Here is an 18,926-nt window from a genome sequence, read left to right as displayed (position 1 = left end):
TTTCTGAAGGAAAATACTTTTTTTAAACTAAACAGTTTCTATTCTAATCACAAATAGGAAAGGAAGAAACTTTTTAAAATGAAAAATATATAACCACTCATTTTTGAGGATCTCACAAAAACAAAGTATTATGCAAGTAATCTGAAGCCAAAAGCCACAGGCTGAGATTTGCCATGCTGAAGGTTTTTTTTTTTTTTTTTTTAATCTACAAATGTTTCTTTGAATTCTTGAATGCTCTATCCTGTGCCAGTGAAAGATGTTTTTCTTTAAAGATCTTAGCAGTGACTGACATATCACTGTTTGAGCAGATGATCCTGAGAAAGTAACCAAAGCCATTTACAGAACAGGCGTTTCTGTAACTTGGGCCCTTTACGGAAGTAAGCCAGTGGGCTTGCGTGTTGTTTGAAGACTGGGCTTATCTTTGTTCAGTGTTTTGCTTTGAGAGCACGACTGACTTTGAGTTTCATCTGCACTCTGTGACCAATTGTGAGACAGACCCAAAGTCTGAAGTTTGTGTTGACTTTAGAAAGTCATTCTCTGAAGCCTTTTTTTGGAATGAGTTTAAAGAAGGAAGAGTACCAAAAGCCAGGTCCAGTCTTGTAGTGGATGTTTTGGAAAGAAAGGATCATGGTTCTCTGGGACCATCAGAGTGGATCAGATTACATTCTAATGTAATGATGAAAACAAAGAACAATAAATCAGAGGGACTCTAAAACATCCTAAAATCTTCCCTCAGGCAAATAATACCAAATCTTCGAGGGTGGATAATTGTTTTCTCTCCATTTTCTTTTTTCTTTTTCCTTGCAGATTGACAGAATTAAAAATTTGACAAGCCCCATCAGTGGTTCATTTAAGTGTTTTGGTATACAGGTGATTAGAAACTATAAAATCTCTTCTGCTTTATTTTAAAGCTATTGTCTTGCTCAGACTGCGTAATTTAAAGGCAACTGTGTTAATGTCTGTGGTGAAAAATTTCTGATCCTAAAAGTCATGGACAAAAAGGGGGCATTTGCCTACCTAGTGTCAAGGAGCTTAAACTGTAATCAGAAGTCCATGCATTATTGTTTTATTCAAATGTAAAGGGAAGATGAATGCTCAAGATACCGCAAAGGATCTTCTTAAAATATGCAATTTGTGTGACTCTTGCTGAGTCAGATGAGTGGGTGATGCTGGGCAGAGCTGTAGAAGAAAACTGACTTTCAGCAAGGAATAAGAATCCATGCTAAACAGTACAGAAGTGAGGCTGAGAATATGCTCAAGGAGAGTGCGGTGGTTGGAATGTTTGTCCCTTCCAAAACTCACGTTCACATTTAATCCCCAGTGTGGCAGTATTGAGAGGTAGAATCTTTAAGAGGTGATTGGGTCATGAGGGCTTTGCCCTCATGAATTGATTAATCCACTCATGGATTAATGGATTAACGGGTTAGTGGATTAATGGGTTGTCATGGGAGTGGGGCTTGTGGCTCTGTAAGAAGAGAAAGAGAGAGCAACACTCAGCCCCCTCGCCATGTGATGCCCTGCACTGCCTCGGAGTTTGCAGAGACTCACGACCAGCAAGAAGGCTCTCACCAGATACCGTCTCTCAACCTTGGACTTCCCAGTATCCAGAACTGTAAGAAATAAATTTCATTTCTTTATAAGTTATCCAGTTTCAGGTATTCTATAAGCAACAGAAAATGGACTAAAACAGAGAGGGAAGCCTCTGGAAGGGGGAAGCCTGAGTGGTTAAGTGGTGAGTCCAGCAGCTGAGGAGAAAACTTTTGACCTGAAAGGACTAGATCTGGGACCCAGATGGAAAACGACTTCCTCTTTTTACCTTGGGGTTTGAGAGAGTGCTCAGCCTGGGTCTAGGAGTGGAGGTAGACCAGCCTAACAGAAAGGACTGAGTCCAAGGAATTGCTAGCCAGAGGGAAAATAAAATAAAATCATGGAAGGCTTGGGAGATGCCTTTTGATACTTTAAACCAAGCTTGTCCAACCTGTGGCCTGCAGGCCACATGTGGCCCTGGACAGCTTTGAATGCGGCCCAACACAAATTAGTAAACTGTCTTAAAACATTATGAGATTTTTTTTTTGTATGATTTTTTGTTGTTGTTGTTAGCTAATCGCTATCATTAGTGTTAGTATATTTTATGTATGGCCCAAGACAATTTTTCTTCCAGTATGGTCCCGGGAAGCCAGAAGATTGGATACCCCTGCTTTAAACCTACCATGATAATTGGATACTGTGAGATTTTTATGTGTAAAATGTAGTCCAGATGGATAGCATTTGAATTCCCAGGATACATAGCAGTAATTTTTTTGTTTTTCATAGCAGTAAATTTTTTGGTGTTTTTGAACAAACTCGAAGTCTATTATTCACTGCGGAGTACCAAGTAGGATTCTCTCATTAGCAGATAAGAGAAAGCAAAATATTGTGTCTTTACAGGAGAAAACTATGTATTCAATTAAGATAGGGTGACAAAACCCAAGTGTGAAACCTACTAGTGGGGACTGGCAGAAAGATACCCTATTTAAACAGTGTTCTGTCCTTACGTAACGTTATTCTCTAATTGGCATCTCTTAGAAAATGGCTGGATTTGGCCCACTTAGTTAAGTAGGTCCAGGAGGGGCAGAGACTTGGAGTTTATTCATTTTGGGAGGAAGCCCAGAATAGTCAATAGAACTAAAGGTATGACGATAGTGTTAGGTGCATGTCCTGTAATGTAGTTGGAATCCTAAAAACTGGGATAAGTTTGAGGTGTAGGGGTTACCCGATTACAATTTATCCCTGGTTTTTGTCTTCATTGTCTGCATTGCTGTTAGGTTTTCTGAAGCCTTGTCTTCTCTAGTTTAAATTGGAGCAGGAATTATTCTTTGATAAAAGGCAGTAGTACCTCAGCTAACTTTCTCACTCAGAATATATTTAGTCAACAGATAACTGTTGACACATACTAAATACAAGTTCATTACATACTTTTGGAGGATATAAAGATAAATCAGGCAGAGTTTATTCTTTTCTCATGTAATGGGGGTGGAGGCGATGGACCATCATTTAATGGTTGAGAACTGGGGTTCTGCAGTCAGACCCAAGCTGGTTCAGACCCTGGTGTTGCAATGTACCAGATGTATAGCCTTGGAAAAAGCTACTCAATCTCTACTAAACCTTCCAAGGCTATATATCTAGTGCATGTCAACACCAGGATATGTATAATAGTACCTATGTCATAAGGATGGCTGGAGGCCTATGAGATAATGGTTGTAAAGGGTTTAGAAGACTCCCCAGAGCATAGTGAGCCCTCTCTGAACACTGACAACACACACAAATGAACAGAGGTGCTTTATGGACCCAGGGGGTTCTGGCTTTGCTGATGTCCAGTGTTAGAGGTATGGCTTGGGGAGTTACCTATATTGGAAGCAATCACTCAGACTGTATGTCACTGGATGACTTGCCAGAGGCAAACAAGAAACAACATGGCAGACACAGAACCTTATTTTTTTATCCACAAAAGTGGACTGTATTTTTCTGTTTGCTTTGATGTTTTGTTTGTATTACTTTGTTTTTTGTTTTTGTTTTTGAGACTGAGTCTCGCTCTGTCGCACAGGCTGGAGTGCAGTGGTGTGATCTTGGCTCGTTGCAACCTCCACTTCCCGGGTTCAAGCGATTCTCCTGCCTCAGTCCCCCTAGTAGCTGGGATTACACACACTGCCACCGTGCCCGGCTAATTTTTGGAGATGGGGTTTCACCACATTGGCTAGGATGGTCTCGAATTGTTGACCTCAAGTGATCCGCCCGCCTCAGCCTCCCAAAGTGCTGGGACGCCTGGCCTGTTTGTATTACTTTGTGGTAACTCTGCCATTAGGGGAGTTGAATCAGACTCATCTGATATGAAGATGACTTAATCATTAATTATTTTAGTACACAATTATTGAGTCTGTTTTTGCACCCATTATGGGTTCCAGCACTAGATCTAGTTTATTAGCACTGAAAGTAAATTAAAGACTAAGCCATATTGGTGGTTGGCTCACAGACTTAGGAGTTTGGCTGGCTGTTAAGGATCGGAGTCTGTAATATTAGAAAGTTTTCAGGCAAAATGAAAGAAACAACCAGATAATAATTTGGTAAATAATAAAGGAGTGGTGAAGTTGGATTTCCTTAGCTGACTCTTTTGCTCAGACATTGTGGTCTCAACTTACTTATCTCTAAATATTTAAATAGATTACTGACTGGCCTGGGATGTGGTTTGTTCTTTAAAAAAAAATGTTATGTAATATTTGACCCATACAAAAGGTTATATAATTCTGTACAATTAATAGGACGTTATTAACACACTGAAGCTACCGTGTGAGGAGGTGCCTCACTCATGTACTGCATTATTATAGCTTGCTAAACATACCTTGGTTAATAAGGAACTATTTCTTGAATGTCACTTCCTTGTCTCCTGCCACGCATCTGGTGGTGGGCCCGGAGCCCTTGTTGACCAATAGGCTCAATATTTGTGAGGGAGACCTGGACAGCAGAGTAGAGGTGTGTTAGGACACGCTGGGCCCTGCCAGCATTTGTGTCTGTCACCTCTAACCACGAAGAGGATAATGACTTGAGAGAGCAGTGCCTGCTGCTGCAGCTCCTCCTTCCCAATCTCAAGTGAATACCTCTTGAATTCCTCTAGCTGTAGCCTAGAATCATGTATAGAAAAGGATTCTGGGAAATGTAGTTCCCCTTAACCAAATGCTAACAGTACAAACTGCAGTTGTGCAGTTAAGTATGTGTTTGTACTTATTTGTTATACTGGAAACAGGAGAGATATTTGTAATTATTTCTGCTTAAAAGATATCAGAATAGTTATTTACTATTCAGGTATCAGATTTGTTTAAAAATGACATTTAACTTGATTATATCATTATTTTCTTTTCCATTAAACCCTAACAATTTTTAAAGCCATGAAATAACTTAAAAAACAGAAGTAATTTAATCTTACCCTCTCCTTTGGAAAGAAAATATTCCTTTTTTAAAGTGAAAGCAAGTTTCAAAAAAAGAAAAGGAATAAAGAACGGCTACTCCATAGGCAGAGCAGCGGCCTGGTCTGCTTGACTGAGTATCCTTGCAGTTATTTCTGGATTATATGCTAAACAAGGGGTGGATTATTCATGAGTTTTCCAGGAAAGGGGTGGAGATTTCCCGGAACTGAGAGTTCCTCCCCTTTTTAGACCATATAGGGTAACTTCCGGACATTGCCTTGGGATTTGTAAACTGTCATGGCGCTGGCAGGAGCGCCTTTTAGCATGCTAATATATTATAATTAGTGTATAATGAGCAGCGGGGACGACCAGAGGTCTCTTTCATTGCCATCTTGGTTTTGGTGAGTTTTGGCCGGCTTCTTTATGGCATCCTGTGTTATCAGCAGGGTCTTTGTGACCTGTATCCTGTGCCGACCTCCTATCTCATCCTGTGACTAAGAAAATATTCTTTTAATTTGACAAATCAAGTTGGATCTCATTGTGCTAAAAAAGGTTTTTAAAAATATTATCCAATACAGTGCCATCTAGTGACAAATCATTTACTTGCTGGTTATTGAAAATAGTTGACTACAAGTTTTATGTCCTGATAAGTCAGGAACTTCACTTCTAATTGTGCAAATTCTTAAGACATATTTTAAGCGACTATTTCTAAATAAATAAAATATTTGTAAATAGAGAGCTGGAAAATATTTTCTAACCCTCAGGTTTTATACATATGTATCACAATGTGTCTTATTTAATGCCACGTGGACCCAGGAGTAAAATCAAAATCAGTGTTTTGTCTAATAAGGTGGTAATAGGATTATTTTAGAAATGTGATGTAAAGGAATGAGCATGGCTTTAAAATCAAACAGACATGAGTTTGTCTATTTGGACTTATTTTTCTTATGACTTAGCAGGTAATTACTACCTGCTTGGAAGTGCACCAAGCACTATATAGGTACTGCCTCATTACATATTCACAAAACTCTATAGGTATTTTACAAATGAGGAAACCGGCCAGGCACGGTGGCTCACGCCTGTAATCCCAGCACTTTGGGAGGCCGAGGCGGGGGAATCACGAGGTCTGGAGATCCAGACCATCCTGGCTAACACAGTGAAACCCCGTCTCTACTAAAAATACAAAAAAAAAAAAAAAAAAATTAGCCGGGTGTGGTGGCGGGCGCCTGTAGTCCCAGCTACTTGGGAGGCTGAGGCAGGAGAATGGCGTGAACCCGGGAGGCGGAGCTTGCAGTGAGCCGAGATCGCGCCACTGCACTGCAGCCTGGGCGACAGAGCAAGACTCCGTCTCAAAAAAACCAAAAAAAAAAAAAAAAAAATGCGGAAACCAAGGCAGGGCAAGGAAGTGTTATGGTGCTTACTTCATTGTTTTTTGTTGTTGTTGTTTTTTGGTTTTTTTTTGTATAGAGATGTAGTCTCACTCTGTCACCCAGGCTGGAGTGCAATGGCGTGATCTCGGCTCACTGCAACCTTCGCCTCCTGGGTTCAAGCGATTCTCATGCCTCAGCCTCCCGAGTAGCTGGGAACACAGGTGCCCGCTACTGTGCCCGGCTGATTTTTTTATTTTTATTATAGACAGGGTTTCACCATGTTGGCCAGGCTAGTCTCAAACTCCTGACCTCAAGTGATTCGCCCACCTTGGCCTCCCAAAGTGCTGAGATACCTCATTGTATTTTATTGTGTGTGTTTATGTGTTTCTGTAATAAAAGAGTGCCCCTTAACAGAGAAGGTCTTACTCAAGAATATTGTGTTTTTCCCTGCCCCTATTATAGACTGGTATGTCTGCAATTCAACTGCTGAATATTTGATTTTTTTCTTTGTCCATGAAATGAAAACACAATACCCTTGACAAGAACAATAGTACATTACATTGTTTTGATAAAATATCATTGTTTTCTCTATATTCAAGAGTGGAAAATATATGTAATTTTTTATAAAGGGTATTATACAGTGGCACAAGCACTAAACTAAGCAACTCTGGGTTCTAGTCTCTACTTGGCCACTTTTAAACTAGTGTTAATTTAACTCTAAAGTTGTACATGCACACAACCCGCATATTCCAAGAGCTTGTTAGGTACAAGGCTTGTTACAAAGACCAGCAGTCTCCCCGCTGTCACTCCTGCCCCATCCCTTGCTCTCTGAGCTCAACTCTTAGAGCGGATTGTTCTGCTTGTTTACCTCCAGCTCTCTAAACAGGCATTGCTCTATCCTCTTCTTACTTTTTCAGTGTTAGGCATTACCTTTGACCTCTCATGATAAAGGAGAATTTATCTTTTTTTTTTTTTTTTTTTTTTTTGAGATGGAGTCTTGCTCTGTACCCCAGGCTGGAGTGCAGTGGCGCCATCTCGGCTCACTGCAAGCTCCGCCTTCCAGGTTCATGCCATTCTCCTACGTCAGCCTCCCGAGTAGCTGAGATTACAGGTGCCCGCCACCGCGCCGGCTAATTTTTTTTGTATTTTTAGTAGAGACGGGGTTTCACCGTGTTAGCCAGGACGGTCTCGATCCCCTGACCTCGTGATCTGCCCGCCTCGGCCTCCCAAAGTGCTGGGATTACAGGCGTGAGGCACCGCCCCGGCCAGGAGAATTTATCTTATGCACCCCCACCCCATGTGCATAGCCCTTTTCTTTTCATTATAATTACATTTTGAATAATTCAGCATTTACATTGTTAGGACTTTGAAAACATTATTCCCAGCTGAGTTATATAATCTATGGTTGCCTTTTCTTTCCAGCACAACTTTTTGTTTTCCCTGGTGTTAATAATTCTTTTCTTTTCTTTTTTTTTTTTTTTTTTTTTTTGGAGGAGGGCTTTGTTTGTTTGCTTAGATTTTATGTACTTTTCCCGTGTTCATCCCTAAACTCTTCCCCCGGTGTAATCTACTTGTGTCGAAAGTGTTAGGGTGCTCTGAAACAGCGTTGTCAGCCTGCAGGCAGCCATCCTCTCTGGCTGTGTTGTCTTTTCTCGAGTTAGCTGGAACTCTCTGCTGCCTCCCAGAGGGACGGTGAGACTTAGAGTCTGGCTGAACGTGAAGCCCTATTTGTTTGTGACTAAGACTGCTTGTCAGCAAGAACTGTCAAGAATGAGTCTTCTGACAGGCAGAAGCACTAATTAGCTTTTACCGTGACCAGTCATGAAGAAGCAGAGTAGGTAAGTAAAGGTGCCAGGGGTGAAATGAAGACCACATGGTATATAAGATATGTGCAAACAATAGTTAAAACAGAAAGAATTGTTTTTCTTTCTTTCTTTTTTTAAAAATACCTTTTTAAAAATAATGGAGATGGGTGGGGGGGGGGGTTGGGAGGAGGGTCTTGCTATGTTCCCCACGCTGGTCTCGAACTCCTAGCCCCAAGCGATCCTCTCACTTCAGCCTCCCAAAGTGCTGCGATTATAGGCATGAGCCACTGCACCCAGCTGAGAAGGAATCTGTGAATTGCTTCTCATTGATTGTTACAGGAAATGATGTTGGAGACATGAATGATCTAATTAATGACTCTTAGCTTTGTATATATTTTGTTTACCTCAATCATAGATTTGGTCTGGTTGTGAATCATGTCTAAGATGTTACTTTTGGGGTCGTCATTATTACATACATGGGAGAAAAACTAGAGGGCAGAAGGAGTCTCTACTATTTTCATTAATAGAACAATTTGCTACAGAACTGTTTTAAGTATTAAATACACAAAAGCTGCCATTCTAGATAGCTAGCAGTAGGAGGCCACAGAGATCATGATTCTGGTGGAATCAGATTGAGTCCTGCAGATTTCCTATTGGAATTGGAAAAGAAACCAAGGGTAAGTAGTCTAGTTGAAATGCTGTAAACCCTTCTTAAAATTCAGGATCAGATAAACTAGATTAAAAATGCCATCCTGTTTTTCATAATGCAGTAACAAATGAATCTAAAATGTGCAACACCACTTTCTTATATGCTTGTGACATTCTTAGTAAATAAAACAAGCAGAGTAGGTATACTGATGTATAACCACCACTTTTTTCCATTGCACTTCTGATTTTTAGTTCTTGAGTCCCCAGTCCAGGCCCTGATTACTTTATGTCCAGATGACTTTCATAGCCTTCTAATGACGCTTTATATCTTGTACTCCTCCACTTCATTCTATGTATTGAAAGCAAGAGTTTTCATCAGAAATGGTTTCGTCACACGTGTCCTATGATAAGCAACCTTTAGTAGTCTCCTGTCAAATAGTATTTCAAGTCCAAGCCTCTCCATTCATTCATTCACTCATTCATTCTAGACATACATATCGGGTGCCTTTACCTGGGCTAAACCTTGGCTCTCAAGACAGACACTCGGGTATGCCCCCAAGAGCTTTATATTTGCATGTGCATTTTCTCAGTGTTCTGCAGTCTCTGTTACGGCTGAGTAAACTTACCTTGTCTCCCCTAAATTTTTACCTTTGTGCCTTTAAACATAAAGCAGCGTCTGTCATTTTATAATTCTCTTCTTTCAGAACTGCCTCTGGTTATTAAAAACCTGATCTACCTCTATTACTCTATGATCTTTCAGCTTTGTGTTATTTAATTTACACCATATTAATTTCATTTATTTCTAGTTTTTCTCTATTAAAATTCTATGTGTGTGCTGTTGCTTAAGTACAAGGTGGTCTTTTATTTCTTTACATTTCCTGTTAATGCCAAATAGCGTAAATTCCTTCTAAACAAAGGAAATATTACTTTAATGACTACAGCACATCCCATGGGTCGCTTTCCCTGTAACCTTCCAGTGCCCTCTTCTTTTCTAGCAGAACCTCCACTTTGCTTAAGAATCCACTCTTCTCTGTATACCCATATGCTCTGGGGAAGCTAGGCTCAGGCCCCAGTCACAGCCCACGGCTGTCAGGAAGGTTCTGTTCTTGCCAGTTGATAGGTTTGAGCATGAACATGTGACCCAGTTCTGTCCCTTGAGACATAAAGAGAAGCCTGGTGGAGGCTTCCAGAAAGGTTTGCCATCCTGGTGAAAAAGAGTTGGATGAGAAGTTCTGCCCACTGTGGGCCAAGCTCCAGCTGTCTTGCAGCCATGAAGGGAGCTAGCCCAAGCATCATCGCCACATGGAGCGGGGCAGAAAGACAGCTGGGGCGGGGGCCTTACTGCATTGCTGAGCCATCCTTTGTTGGGATTTCTTGTTATGTGAAGATAGTGAGGCTTTGTCGGCTTGGGATTTTCTCTTATTTTCAGACAAAGGCGTCTGGCTAACTCTTCACCATCAGCTCTCAGTTTAGATTTCCCTGATCTCTGACAACATCTCCTGCCATGCGTTTACCACACCACGTAGTAATAGATTATTTGCTTCTCAGGACCACAATTGACTGTAAACTCTATATGAGAGCAGGAACTTCACCTTGATCACTGTTATGAGATGTGCCTACAAACCAGCATAGTACCTGGGGACTGATAAGTTTTGAACACCTATATTTATTCATGTTATCCTGAAAGTAGATGCAGAGTTTCTGGGGCAGGGACAAATTATGATTATTATAGCAATAACCTAGGACAACAGACTTGAGTTTATAACCCCTGGAAGATTTCCACAGTCCTGGTTTCATCATCCTTCTGAAATGTAAACACATAGCTCAGGGGAGGTAAGTCCCTCACTATCTGTTCAGTCATCTTTTAAGTTTTAAGGTTGTCCTTTAACACAAGTCCTAGTAAAATTTTCCCAGTTCTAATTGTGCAGAAGTATAAAGACACTCACTTCCTCACACTGACAGAGTAGGTGCTCAATAAACTATTTGTTGAATATTTAACAAATTTAAAGAATAAATCTAATTTAAATCTAATTTAGTGGTGTCAACTGGGTCAGGGATTGTGGGCTTTTGTGGGGGGTGGGGAGAAGCATATGAGAATCATCTGGGGGGCATTTTAAATCAACAGGATACTTCTCACCTGCCAGTTCCGACATCTCCTATTACTGTCATATTCCTTAGGGTTTTTAGGTTTGTTTTTGTGGCCAAAAGGATGAGAACTTGGATATAGCCCACACTATGTTTGAGCCTTTCTTATGAAAGTTAGGAATGGAACCATTTGTGTTGACACCTGGTCCCAAGGCTGCTATCTCAATGTTCACATTCATTCCACCTGAGTCTTCTGTTTTGTGTTTCCTTGTACGGATTTGGTAGAATATTTATTAAAGGATGTTTCTTTTTTTTAATTAATAGCTTGCCTTTTTTTTCACAGAGGGTTTGAGGCAACTTTACCACACAAATACATAAAATGAAATAGCATATAAACAGAAAATCAGAACTGAGAAAAAAGGTTGCACATGTGTTGATTTTAATTCAGATTTGCTTCATGTTTTTATTGATGCCTAGTGCAAAATGACAAATAGCATCAATTATGTTAATAATTTTTAACATTTTTATTTAAGCCACATCCCTGTGTTGTAATCTATGAGACCTCTTCTGAAAAGAGTTCACACACACACACACACACACACACACACACACACAGACACTGTCTCTCAATTTTGCTATAATGTCTGTCCCTGGCACATCATGGAAACTTGTTATTAGAGAAGGTGAAACATACTCATTTCTTAGGAGGAAAAAAATATTCTTGGTATTAAGTTCTAAAAAATTTATTTCTTTAATAAAATATTCTAGACATATAGAAAAATAGACTAAGCTATCAAATACCATCAGTTTTGTAATATTTGCTTTAGATTTAAAAAAAAATAGAGACGAAATAGAGACCTCTTATTTAGCTCTTTTTGATTCTATTCTGCTCTTTTCCTCTACAGTAGAAACCACTATCCTGAGTTTAGTGTTTAACATTTCCAAACATATTTTATACTTTTACTACCTTTGTTTACATTTGCATCATTTTATATATATTTTATTTTATTTTATTTTATTTTATTGAGACAGGGTCTTACTCTGTCACCCGGGCTGGAGTGCAGTGGCATGATCTCGGCTCGCTGCAGTCTCCATCTCCCAGGTGCAAGCGATTCTCCTGCCTCAGCCTCCCGAGTAGTTGGGATTACAGGCATGCGCCACCACATCCAGCTAATTTTTGTATTTTTAGTAGAGACAGGGTTTCGCCATGTGGCTGGTCTCGAACTCCTAATCTCAAGTGATCCTCCCGCCTCAGCCTCCAAAGTGCTGGGATTATAAGCGTGAGCCACGGCACGTGGCCCTCATCGTTATGTATGTAAGACATTATTTTTTATGATTTGAAACTTTATATAAACCATGTTTCATCGTAGGCCTCTGCAGCTAGTCTTTTCACCTAACATTTTTTTTTTATTGTGAAAAAAGAAACACATAACATGAGAGTTACCCTCTTAACAAATTATTGTGTATGCTACAGTATTAACTATAAGCATAATGTGGTACAGAAGATCTCTGGAACTTTTCATTTTGCATGGCAGAGACTCTGTTCCCATTGAATAGCAACTGCCCATTTTTCCCTCCCTCCAGTCTGGCAACAGATTCTACTTTGTGTTTCTGTAAGTTTGACTACTTTAGACACTTCATCTATGTGGTTTCATGCAGTATTTGTCCTTCTTCACTTAGCGTAATATCCATCACTTAGCAACAAGGTTCATCCATGTTGTAACTTACGACGAGATTTCTGTTTTAAGGCTAATATTCCACTGTATGTATACACCATATTTGCTTTGTTTTTTCATTTAAGATGGATTTTAGGTTGTTACTACCTTTTGGTTATTGTGATTAATGCTGCAGTGAACAAGGGGGTGGTGCAAGCATTTCTACAAGATTCTGATTTCAGTTTTTTTTGATGAATATCCAGAAGAGGGATTTCTGGTTTATATTGTAGTTCTATTTGTAATTTTTTAAGGAATCTCCATACTGTTTTCCATAGAAGCTGCACCATTTTACAGTCCCACCAACAATGCGCAAGGATTCCAGTTGCTTCAGATCCTCACCAAGACTTGTTATTTTCTGGGTTTTTTGTTTTTGTTTTTTATAATGCCCATCCTAACATATAAGAGGTGACATCTTACTGTGGTTTTCATTGGCATTTGATGACATGTACGCCTTGGCCATTTGTATATCTTTTTTTTTTTTTTTTTTTTTTTTTGGAGAAATACCTATTCGAGTCTTTGGTCTATTTTTTCAGTGGGTTATTTGGGGTTTTTTTGCCACTGTTGTAGCAGTTCCTTATATATTTTGGATATTAGCCCCTTATCAGATAACATGGTTTGCAGATATTTTCTCCCATTCCATAGGATGCCTTTTTACTCTATTGATTCTTTATTCTTCTTTGATACTTGTAGCTGTCCTTATTTCTTTCATAAATATACGTAATACTCATATATAAGATATTTCATTATGAGACTATATTGTATGCATATTCTCCTGATTCACATTTGAATTGTTTCCAATTTTTTGCAGTTACCTGTATTCTGATATGTACCTCCTTATGTTCGTGTGCCAATTTCTCTAGTGTACATTTTCAGGAGTGGAATTACTTGGCTATAGGTATGCGTATCTCATCTTTATTAGATATTACCAAATTCCTCTCCAGAGTGGTTGACTCAGTGTAACTTTCTTTCATTAGTGTGATACTTTGCCAGTCTGACGCGAAATGCTGTTTCATCGTAGTGTTAAACTGCATCGTACTGAACTTGAACATCTTATGTTTATTTTCACCGTGATTTCCTTTTTTGTTAACTAGCTATTCACAATTTTTTGCCTCATTTTTTTCAATAGAGTTGTTTGTATTTATTTACTGACTTTTAGGACTTAATGTATCCTGAAAATTAATACCTTTTTGTTATGTATTTTGTTAATATCTTGTAGTCTGTGGTTTGGTTTTTCATTTTGTTTGAAGAACCTTTTGTTAGAATTTTTAAAAACTTCAACATAGTAACACATTTATCAGTCTTTTACTTTATAATTTCTACTTTTGTATGTTATTTTAAAAATCATTACCTAAAGAGCATTTTTTTCCTAAAAATTGTCAAAATTTTATTTTTACATTTAAGCCTATAGCTTGAAAATGTGTCTCTATGATGTGAGATAATGATTTTATTTTCTTATAGTTAACTTATGTCTCAGGATAACTGTTGTTCAATAGTCTGTCCTTTCCCCGCTGATTTGCAGTGCTACTGCCATCATATATCAAATTTCTGAACATACGTGAGTCTTTTTCTGGGTGCTCTATTGTTTTTCATTTATCTTTACTGTTTTGCTTATCATTGTTTCATATAACTTAAAGTTTTAGAGAGTGGCTGCCTGTTTTCTTCAAATTTGTCAAGACTGTTCTTGGCCCTTTTTTCTTATGAATTTTAGGATCAGCTTACCATGGTCCATGAAAGACCCTGTAGGGATTTTGATTGTAATCATGTTGTATTTCAGTTCAGTTTAGGGATATTTATTAAGTCTTCCATCCACAAATATAATGTATTTCTCAACTTACTTGGCTTTATAATGTTCTCTATAAAGCTCTTGAAGATTTTTTTGTTAGACTAATTATTAGAAAGCTTATAGCTTTAGTTGCTGCTTTAAATGATAGGTAGCTTTTCTTATTGAAATTACAATGTGATGTTTTGGCTTATAGGAATTATATTAATTTTGTATCTTGATCTTTTAACAATACTGATGAACTTATTTTTTATTAGTTTTAATGGTTTTCCTTCATAATTCTCTATATAGATAATGATTACTTGGAGATGAAGACAGTTTTGTTACATCATTTAAATTTTTATATTTCCTTTGTCTTTTTTATTAATGTTGACTAAGTCCTCTATTATGTTATTAAGTAAAAGTGATGATTGTAGTCATCCTTCTTGCATTTCGTAGCTTTTGAAGGAAATACTCCCATTATTTAACCATTAAGTGTGATTTTGTTGTAGGGTTTTGTTTTTGTTTTTAAGTTAAGCAAGTTCTTTTCTATTCCTGATATGTGGGATTCTTTTTTTTTTTTTTTTTTAATCATGAAGGTTGCTAAAGAATTAACGAAAGTGACCGGGCGCGGTGGCTCATGCCTGTAATCCCAGCACTTTCGGAGGCCGAGACGGGTGGATCACGAGGTCAGAGATCAAGACCATTCTGGCTAACACAGTGAAACCTCATCTCTACTAAAAATACAAAAACTTAGCCGGGCGTGGTGGCAGGTGCCTGTAGTCCCAGCTACTCGGGAGGCTGAGGCAGGAGAATGGCGTGAACCCGGGAGGCGGAGCCTTGCAGTGAGCCAAGATCGCGCCACTGCACTCCAGCCTGGGGGACAGAGCAAGACTCTGTCTCAAAAAAAAAAAGAGTTAACAAACCATTTTTCATTTTTTTAAGGACAAATCTGACCTTAGATTAACTCTCTACTCAGTTCTCCTGAACCCCTGGTAAAAGGGAAATGTTCACCATGTTACCAGGCAACATTGTTGTGGTGAAAGTGACCTCTGTTTGGTAAACATATCTGGACTGGGAGGAACTGTAAGTGAACTCTAAATTCCTGATTAGAAGCTGTAGCTTCCCCAGAAGTACTGACTTTTCAGAAATGGGTATGTCCTTTGTGGGAACCTTGGACGCCGTGACTAGCACCGTTATATGATATTTGGTTTCTGCTTGGGGCACAAAGTTTCTAAGCCAGCATGTCTGTGCACCACCCTTGTGATTTTATTTTATATTATTTTGTTTTATTTGAGACAGAGTCTTGCTCTGTTGCCCAGGCTGGAGTGCGATGGTGCAATGTTGGCTCACTGCAACCCCCACCTCGCGGGTTCAAGCGATTCTCTTCCCTCGGCCTCCCGAGTAGCTGGGATTACAGATGCCCGCCACCCCACACCTGGCTAATTTTTGTATTTTTAGTAGAGACAGGGTTGTACCATGTTGGCTAAGCTGATCTCAAACTCCTGACCTCAAGTGATCTACTCACCTCGGCCTCCCAGAGTGGCACCAAACCAGCATGGTACCTGGGCCCACCCTTGTGATTTTCATTTCCTTGCCCCTGAGCTGTCAGCTGGATGCCAGAGAGAATAGCTCCTGGATGGCCGTGTGGGCTCATGTGGGGGCTCCTTCCATGAAGAGAAACACCTGAAACCGCCCTGTTGGCATGCTGTGTTTTCTTCTATGCTTCCTGAGTAGATAAATGGCTGCTGATTGTGGCCTTGGTAACTGAGTAGCTCAGAATGTGTAATTAGAAGTCCCACGTGGGCACTGCAGTGCATCCAAACAAAATACAGAAATAAAAGTGGTTCCTGGGGTTGATCTAACTTCATAACTCTCACTTAAAATCCTCGATTTCTAATATTTATTGGAATACTCATATTTTCATTGACTATAAATATTTTAGATTGAACTTACAAGTATATATACTATACTATCTTTTTTAATGTGTTAGATTCTATATATGTTTGCCAACCCCAAAATGGTTCCACTGCTAAAAAAAAAAGTTTGATAACTAATGTTTTAGACCTGTACTGTCCAGTGGGTAGATATTTGCTGCTGTAATATGGCTATTAAAGTGAAATACAATTAAAATTCAGTTTCTTAGTCATACCAGCCATAATTCAAGTGCTTACTAGCCATATGTGGCTAATGGCTACTATCTTTGACAGTGTAGATATGGAGCATCTTCATCATTACAGAAAGTTCTGTTGAACAGACTTTCTAGGCTTTATTTTTAAAATTTATCCACCTTATCAGAGAGCATTATGTTTTTACTATATATGCTATATGCAATAAGAATCAGCATATCTTTCAGGGACATTATTGAAGACCCCAGTGTATCATGTATAGAATGATCCACTAGAGAAATATTTCTTAGATTTGAGTACCAGGAGAAATTTATTTTCCCTGAAATTTACCCTCTGATCATGTCCAGTTTGTAACTGATCATTTTTCCCTTTTTGCTTTGTCACTAGAGTGTAGGGCCAAGTTTATGGCTCACTTTAACCATTTGGCCTACATATTTGTATGCTTTGTGTAATTTTTGAAGGCTCTGGTTTTATCTTGCTAGTCTGCTTATTTTCTTGTCTGGATGTTTGTATTAATAAAACTATAAATTTTGCATTTTAAGGGGGGTGTAAATACCGTATAATGAATGAATACCTTTAAGATTTTGATTGATACTTCAGTTAGTTGGTAGGAGCCATTTATTACTGAACCTCAGAGGTGAGAACGGGTGAAGGAGCTAAAAGCAGTCAGTCCTTAGCTGATCATTACAGTGTACACACATGTAATCTGGACTGCTCACCAAATGAAATTGTGTCCAGAATTGGTGGGTTCTTGGTCTCACTGACTTCAAGAATGAAGTCATGGACCCTCGTGGTGAGTGTTACAGTTCTTAAAGATGGTGTATCCAGAGTTTGTTCCTTCTGATGTTCGGACGTGTTCAGAGTTTCTTCCTTCTGGTGGGTTCGTGGTCTTGCTGGCTTCAGGAATGAATCTGCAAACCTTGGCGGTGCGTGTTACAGCTCTTAAGGTGGTGCATCTGGAGTTGTTTATTCTTCCCGTCTGGAGTTCATTTCTCCTGGTGGGTTCGTGGTCTCGCCAGCCTCAGGAGTGAAGCTGCAGTGTTACAGCTTTGCAGTGAGTGTTAGAGCTCTTAAAGGCAGTGCAAACCCAAAGAGTGAGCAGCAGCAAGATTTATTGCAAAGAGTGAAAGAACAAAGCTTCCAGCGTGGAAGGGGACTGGAGCAGATTGCCACTGCTGGCTTGGGCAGCCTGCTTTTATTCCCTTATCTGGTCCCACCCACATCCTGCTGATTGGTCCATTTTACGGAGAGCTGATTGGTCTGTTTTACAGAAAGCTGATTGGTCTGTTGTGACAGGGTGCTGATTGGTGCATTTACAATCCCTGAACTAGACACAAAAGTTCTCCGAGTCCCCGTTAGATTAGCTAGACACAGAGCACTGATTGGTGCATTTACAAACCTTGAGCTAGACACAGGGTGCTGATTGGTGCATTTACAAACTTTGAGCTAGACACAGAGTGCTGATTGGTGTATTTACAATCCCCTGGCTAGACGTAAAGGTTCTCCAAGTCCCCACTAGATTAGCTAGACACAGAGCACTGATGGGTGCATTTACAAACCTTGAGCTAGACACAGCGTGCTGATTGGTGTATTTATAATCCTTTAGCTAGACATAAAGGTTCTCCAAGTCCCCACTAGATTAGCTAGATACCGAGTGCTGATTGGTGTATTTACAATCCGTTAGCTAGACATAAAGGTTCTCCAAGTCCCCACTAGACTCAGGAGCCCAGCTGGCTTCACTTAGTGGATCCCACACTGGGGATGCAGGCGGAGCTGCCCTCTAGTCCCGTGCTGTGCGCCCGCACTTCTCAGCCCTTGGGTGGTCGATGGGACCGGGTGCCGCGGAGCAGGGGGCAGCGCTCATTGGGGAGGCTTGGGCCGTGCAGGAGCCCACGGTGGTGGGGAGGCTCGGGCATGGTGGGCTGCAGGTCCTGAGCCCTGCCCCGCGGGGAGGCAGCTGAGGCCCGGTGAGAATTTGAACGCAGTGCTGGCAGGCCAGCACTGCTGGGGGACCCGGCACACCCTCCACAGCTGCTGGCCTGGGTGCTAAGCCCCTCACTGCCTGGGGCTGGCGGCGCCAGACAGCTGCTCCGAGTGCGGGGCCCACCGAGCCCACGCCCACCCGGAACTCGTGCTGGCCCACGGGCACCACGCACAGCCCTGGTTCCTGCCCGTGACTCTCCCTCCACACCTCCCCGCAAGCAGAGGGAGCCAGCTCCGGCCTTGGCCAACCCAGAGAGGGGCTCCCACAGTGCAGCGGTGGGCTGAAGGGCTCCGCAAGTGTGGCCAGAGTGGGCGCCAAGAGCAAGCGAGGGCTGCCAGCACGGTGTCACCTCTCAAAATGACTTAGAATGTATACCTGTCATACAACCAGTTTAGCTTGCTTTTCTAAAATGTTTTTAATTTTCAAAATAATGTTTAAAGAAGCCTTACTGAAGTTGATTGTAAAAAATTTCAAACTTTTAAGTGTTGCTAGGG

The 18,926-nt window shown here is 40.3% G+C and overlaps 1 long non-coding RNA gene across 10 annotated transcripts in view, besides 23 other annotated features; it reads left to right on the top strand.

The window, feature by feature from the left end:
* Nucleotides 1-18,926, top strand: part of LINC-PINT (long intergenic non-protein coding RNA, p53 induced transcript) — a 232,364-nt gene that overhangs the window by 32,531 nt on the left and 180,907 nt on the right. The window lies entirely within an intron of this gene.
* Nucleotides 3,506-3,650: an enhancer, noted in NCBI's record as "145 bp 7:130758576 sequence used in MPRA reporter constructs". NCBI's record gives its function as "activates a minimal TATA-containing promoter with rs12669378 allelic activity by MPRAs in C283T melanocytes {active_cell/tissue: C283T}" and the evidence as "EXISTENCE:reporter gene assay evidence [ECO:0000049][PMID:36423637]".
* Nucleotide 3,578: a transcriptional cis regulatory region, noted in NCBI's record as "rs12669378 or 7:130758576 MPRA-significant variant associated with a GWAS melanoma risk locus at 7q32.3". NCBI's record gives its function as "allelic transcriptional activity by MPRAs in C283T melanocytes {active_cell/tissue: C283T}" and the evidence as "EXISTENCE:reporter gene assay evidence [ECO:0000049][PMID:36423637]".
* Nucleotides 4,342-4,486: an enhancer, noted in NCBI's record as "145 bp 7:130757740 sequence used in MPRA reporter constructs". NCBI's record gives its function as "activates a minimal TATA-containing promoter with rs10954299 allelic activity by MPRAs in UACC903 melanoma cells {active_cell/tissue: UACC903}" and the evidence as "EXISTENCE:reporter gene assay evidence [ECO:0000049][PMID:36423637]".
* Nucleotide 4,414: a transcriptional cis regulatory region, noted in NCBI's record as "rs10954299 or 7:130757740 MPRA-significant variant associated with a GWAS melanoma risk locus at 7q32.3". NCBI's record gives its function as "allelic transcriptional activity by MPRAs in UACC903 melanoma cells {active_cell/tissue: UACC903}" and the evidence as "EXISTENCE:reporter gene assay evidence [ECO:0000049][PMID:36423637]".
* Nucleotides 7,270-7,414: an enhancer, noted in NCBI's record as "145 bp 7:130754812 sequence used in MPRA reporter constructs". NCBI's record gives its function as "activates a minimal TATA-containing promoter with rs4731742 allelic activity by MPRAs in UACC903 melanoma cells {active_cell/tissue: UACC903}" and the evidence as "EXISTENCE:reporter gene assay evidence [ECO:0000049][PMID:36423637]".
* Nucleotide 7,342: a transcriptional cis regulatory region, noted in NCBI's record as "rs4731742 or 7:130754812 MPRA-significant variant associated with a GWAS melanoma risk locus at 7q32.3". NCBI's record gives its function as "allelic transcriptional activity by MPRAs in UACC903 melanoma cells {active_cell/tissue: UACC903}" and the evidence as "EXISTENCE:reporter gene assay evidence [ECO:0000049][PMID:36423637]".
* Nucleotides 10,125-10,269: an enhancer, noted in NCBI's record as "145 bp 7:130751957 sequence used in MPRA reporter constructs". NCBI's record gives its function as "activates a minimal TATA-containing promoter with rs4510791 allelic activity by MPRAs in C283T melanocytes and UACC903 melanoma cells {active_cell/tissue: C283T | UACC903}" and the evidence as "EXISTENCE:reporter gene assay evidence [ECO:0000049][PMID:36423637]".
* Nucleotide 10,197: a transcriptional cis regulatory region, noted in NCBI's record as "rs4510791 or 7:130751957 MPRA-significant variant associated with a GWAS melanoma risk locus at 7q32.3". NCBI's record gives its function as "allelic transcriptional activity by MPRAs in C283T melanocytes and UACC903 melanoma cells {active_cell/tissue: C283T | UACC903}" and the evidence as "EXISTENCE:reporter gene assay evidence [ECO:0000049][PMID:36423637]".
* Nucleotides 10,762-10,906: an enhancer, noted in NCBI's record as "145 bp 7:130751320 sequence used in MPRA reporter constructs". NCBI's record gives its function as "activates a minimal TATA-containing promoter with rs6943502 allelic activity by MPRAs in C283T melanocytes {active_cell/tissue: C283T}" and the evidence as "EXISTENCE:reporter gene assay evidence [ECO:0000049][PMID:36423637]".
* Nucleotide 10,834: a transcriptional cis regulatory region, noted in NCBI's record as "rs6943502 or 7:130751320 MPRA-significant variant associated with a GWAS melanoma risk locus at 7q32.3". NCBI's record gives its function as "allelic transcriptional activity by MPRAs in C283T melanocytes {active_cell/tissue: C283T}" and the evidence as "EXISTENCE:reporter gene assay evidence [ECO:0000049][PMID:36423637]".
* Nucleotides 11,994-12,138: an enhancer, noted in NCBI's record as "145 bp 7:130750088 sequence used in MPRA reporter constructs". NCBI's record gives its function as "activates a minimal TATA-containing promoter with rs4731738 allelic activity by MPRAs in C283T melanocytes and UACC903 melanoma cells {active_cell/tissue: C283T | UACC903}" and the evidence as "EXISTENCE:reporter gene assay evidence [ECO:0000049][PMID:36423637]".
* Nucleotide 12,066: a transcriptional cis regulatory region, noted in NCBI's record as "rs4731738 or 7:130750088 MPRA-significant variant associated with a GWAS melanoma risk locus at 7q32.3". NCBI's record gives its function as "allelic transcriptional activity by MPRAs in C283T melanocytes and UACC903 melanoma cells {active_cell/tissue: C283T | UACC903}" and the evidence as "EXISTENCE:reporter gene assay evidence [ECO:0000049][PMID:36423637]".
* Nucleotides 15,994-16,138: an enhancer, noted in NCBI's record as "145 bp 7:130746088 sequence used in MPRA reporter constructs". NCBI's record gives its function as "activates a minimal TATA-containing promoter with rs7787551 allelic activity by MPRAs in UACC903 melanoma cells {active_cell/tissue: UACC903}" and the evidence as "EXISTENCE:reporter gene assay evidence [ECO:0000049][PMID:36423637]".
* Nucleotide 16,066: a transcriptional cis regulatory region, noted in NCBI's record as "rs7787551 or 7:130746088 MPRA-significant variant associated with a GWAS melanoma risk locus at 7q32.3". NCBI's record gives its function as "allelic transcriptional activity by MPRAs in UACC903 melanoma cells {active_cell/tissue: UACC903}" and the evidence as "EXISTENCE:reporter gene assay evidence [ECO:0000049][PMID:36423637]".
* Nucleotides 18,027-18,171: an enhancer, noted in NCBI's record as "145 bp 7:130744055 sequence used in MPRA reporter constructs". NCBI's record gives its function as "activates a minimal TATA-containing promoter with rs4573211 allelic activity by MPRAs in C283T melanocytes and UACC903 melanoma cells {active_cell/tissue: C283T | UACC903}" and the evidence as "EXISTENCE:reporter gene assay evidence [ECO:0000049][PMID:36423637]".
* Nucleotides 18,027-18,200: a biological region, named in NCBI's record as "melanoma risk locus-associated MPRA allelic enhancers 7:130744026 and 7:130744055".
* Nucleotides 18,056-18,200: an enhancer, noted in NCBI's record as "145 bp 7:130744026 sequence used in MPRA reporter constructs". NCBI's record gives its function as "activates a minimal TATA-containing promoter with rs4629785 allelic activity by MPRAs in C283T melanocytes {active_cell/tissue: C283T}" and the evidence as "EXISTENCE:reporter gene assay evidence [ECO:0000049][PMID:36423637]".
* Nucleotide 18,099: a transcriptional cis regulatory region, noted in NCBI's record as "rs4573211 or 7:130744055 MPRA-significant variant associated with a GWAS melanoma risk locus at 7q32.3". NCBI's record gives its function as "allelic transcriptional activity by MPRAs in C283T melanocytes and UACC903 melanoma cells {active_cell/tissue: C283T | UACC903}" and the evidence as "EXISTENCE:reporter gene assay evidence [ECO:0000049][PMID:36423637]".
* Nucleotide 18,128: a transcriptional cis regulatory region, noted in NCBI's record as "rs4629785 or 7:130744026 MPRA-significant variant associated with a GWAS melanoma risk locus at 7q32.3". NCBI's record gives its function as "allelic transcriptional activity by MPRAs in C283T melanocytes {active_cell/tissue: C283T}" and the evidence as "EXISTENCE:reporter gene assay evidence [ECO:0000049][PMID:36423637]".
* Nucleotides 18,214-18,358: an enhancer, noted in NCBI's record as "145 bp 7:130743868 sequence used in MPRA reporter constructs". NCBI's record gives its function as "activates a minimal TATA-containing promoter with rs4338041 allelic activity by MPRAs in C283T melanocytes {active_cell/tissue: C283T}" and the evidence as "EXISTENCE:reporter gene assay evidence [ECO:0000049][PMID:36423637]".
* Nucleotide 18,286: a transcriptional cis regulatory region, noted in NCBI's record as "rs4338041 or 7:130743868 MPRA-significant variant associated with a GWAS melanoma risk locus at 7q32.3". NCBI's record gives its function as "allelic transcriptional activity by MPRAs in C283T melanocytes {active_cell/tissue: C283T}" and the evidence as "EXISTENCE:reporter gene assay evidence [ECO:0000049][PMID:36423637]".
* Nucleotides 18,362-18,506: an enhancer, noted in NCBI's record as "145 bp 7:130743720 sequence used in MPRA reporter constructs". NCBI's record gives its function as "activates a minimal TATA-containing promoter with rs4336553 allelic activity by MPRAs in C283T melanocytes {active_cell/tissue: C283T}" and the evidence as "EXISTENCE:reporter gene assay evidence [ECO:0000049][PMID:36423637]".
* Nucleotide 18,434: a transcriptional cis regulatory region, noted in NCBI's record as "rs4336553 or 7:130743720 MPRA-significant variant associated with a GWAS melanoma risk locus at 7q32.3". NCBI's record gives its function as "allelic transcriptional activity by MPRAs in C283T melanocytes {active_cell/tissue: C283T}" and the evidence as "EXISTENCE:reporter gene assay evidence [ECO:0000049][PMID:36423637]".

This window comes from Homo sapiens, chromosome 7 (assembly GCF_000001405.40).
Source record: "Homo sapiens chromosome 7, GRCh38.p14 Primary Assembly".
In the NCBI taxonomy this organism is placed as follows: Eukaryota; Metazoa; Chordata; class Mammalia; order Primates; family Hominidae; genus Homo; species Homo sapiens.
This window is presented reverse-complemented; position numbering and strand designations above follow the sequence as displayed.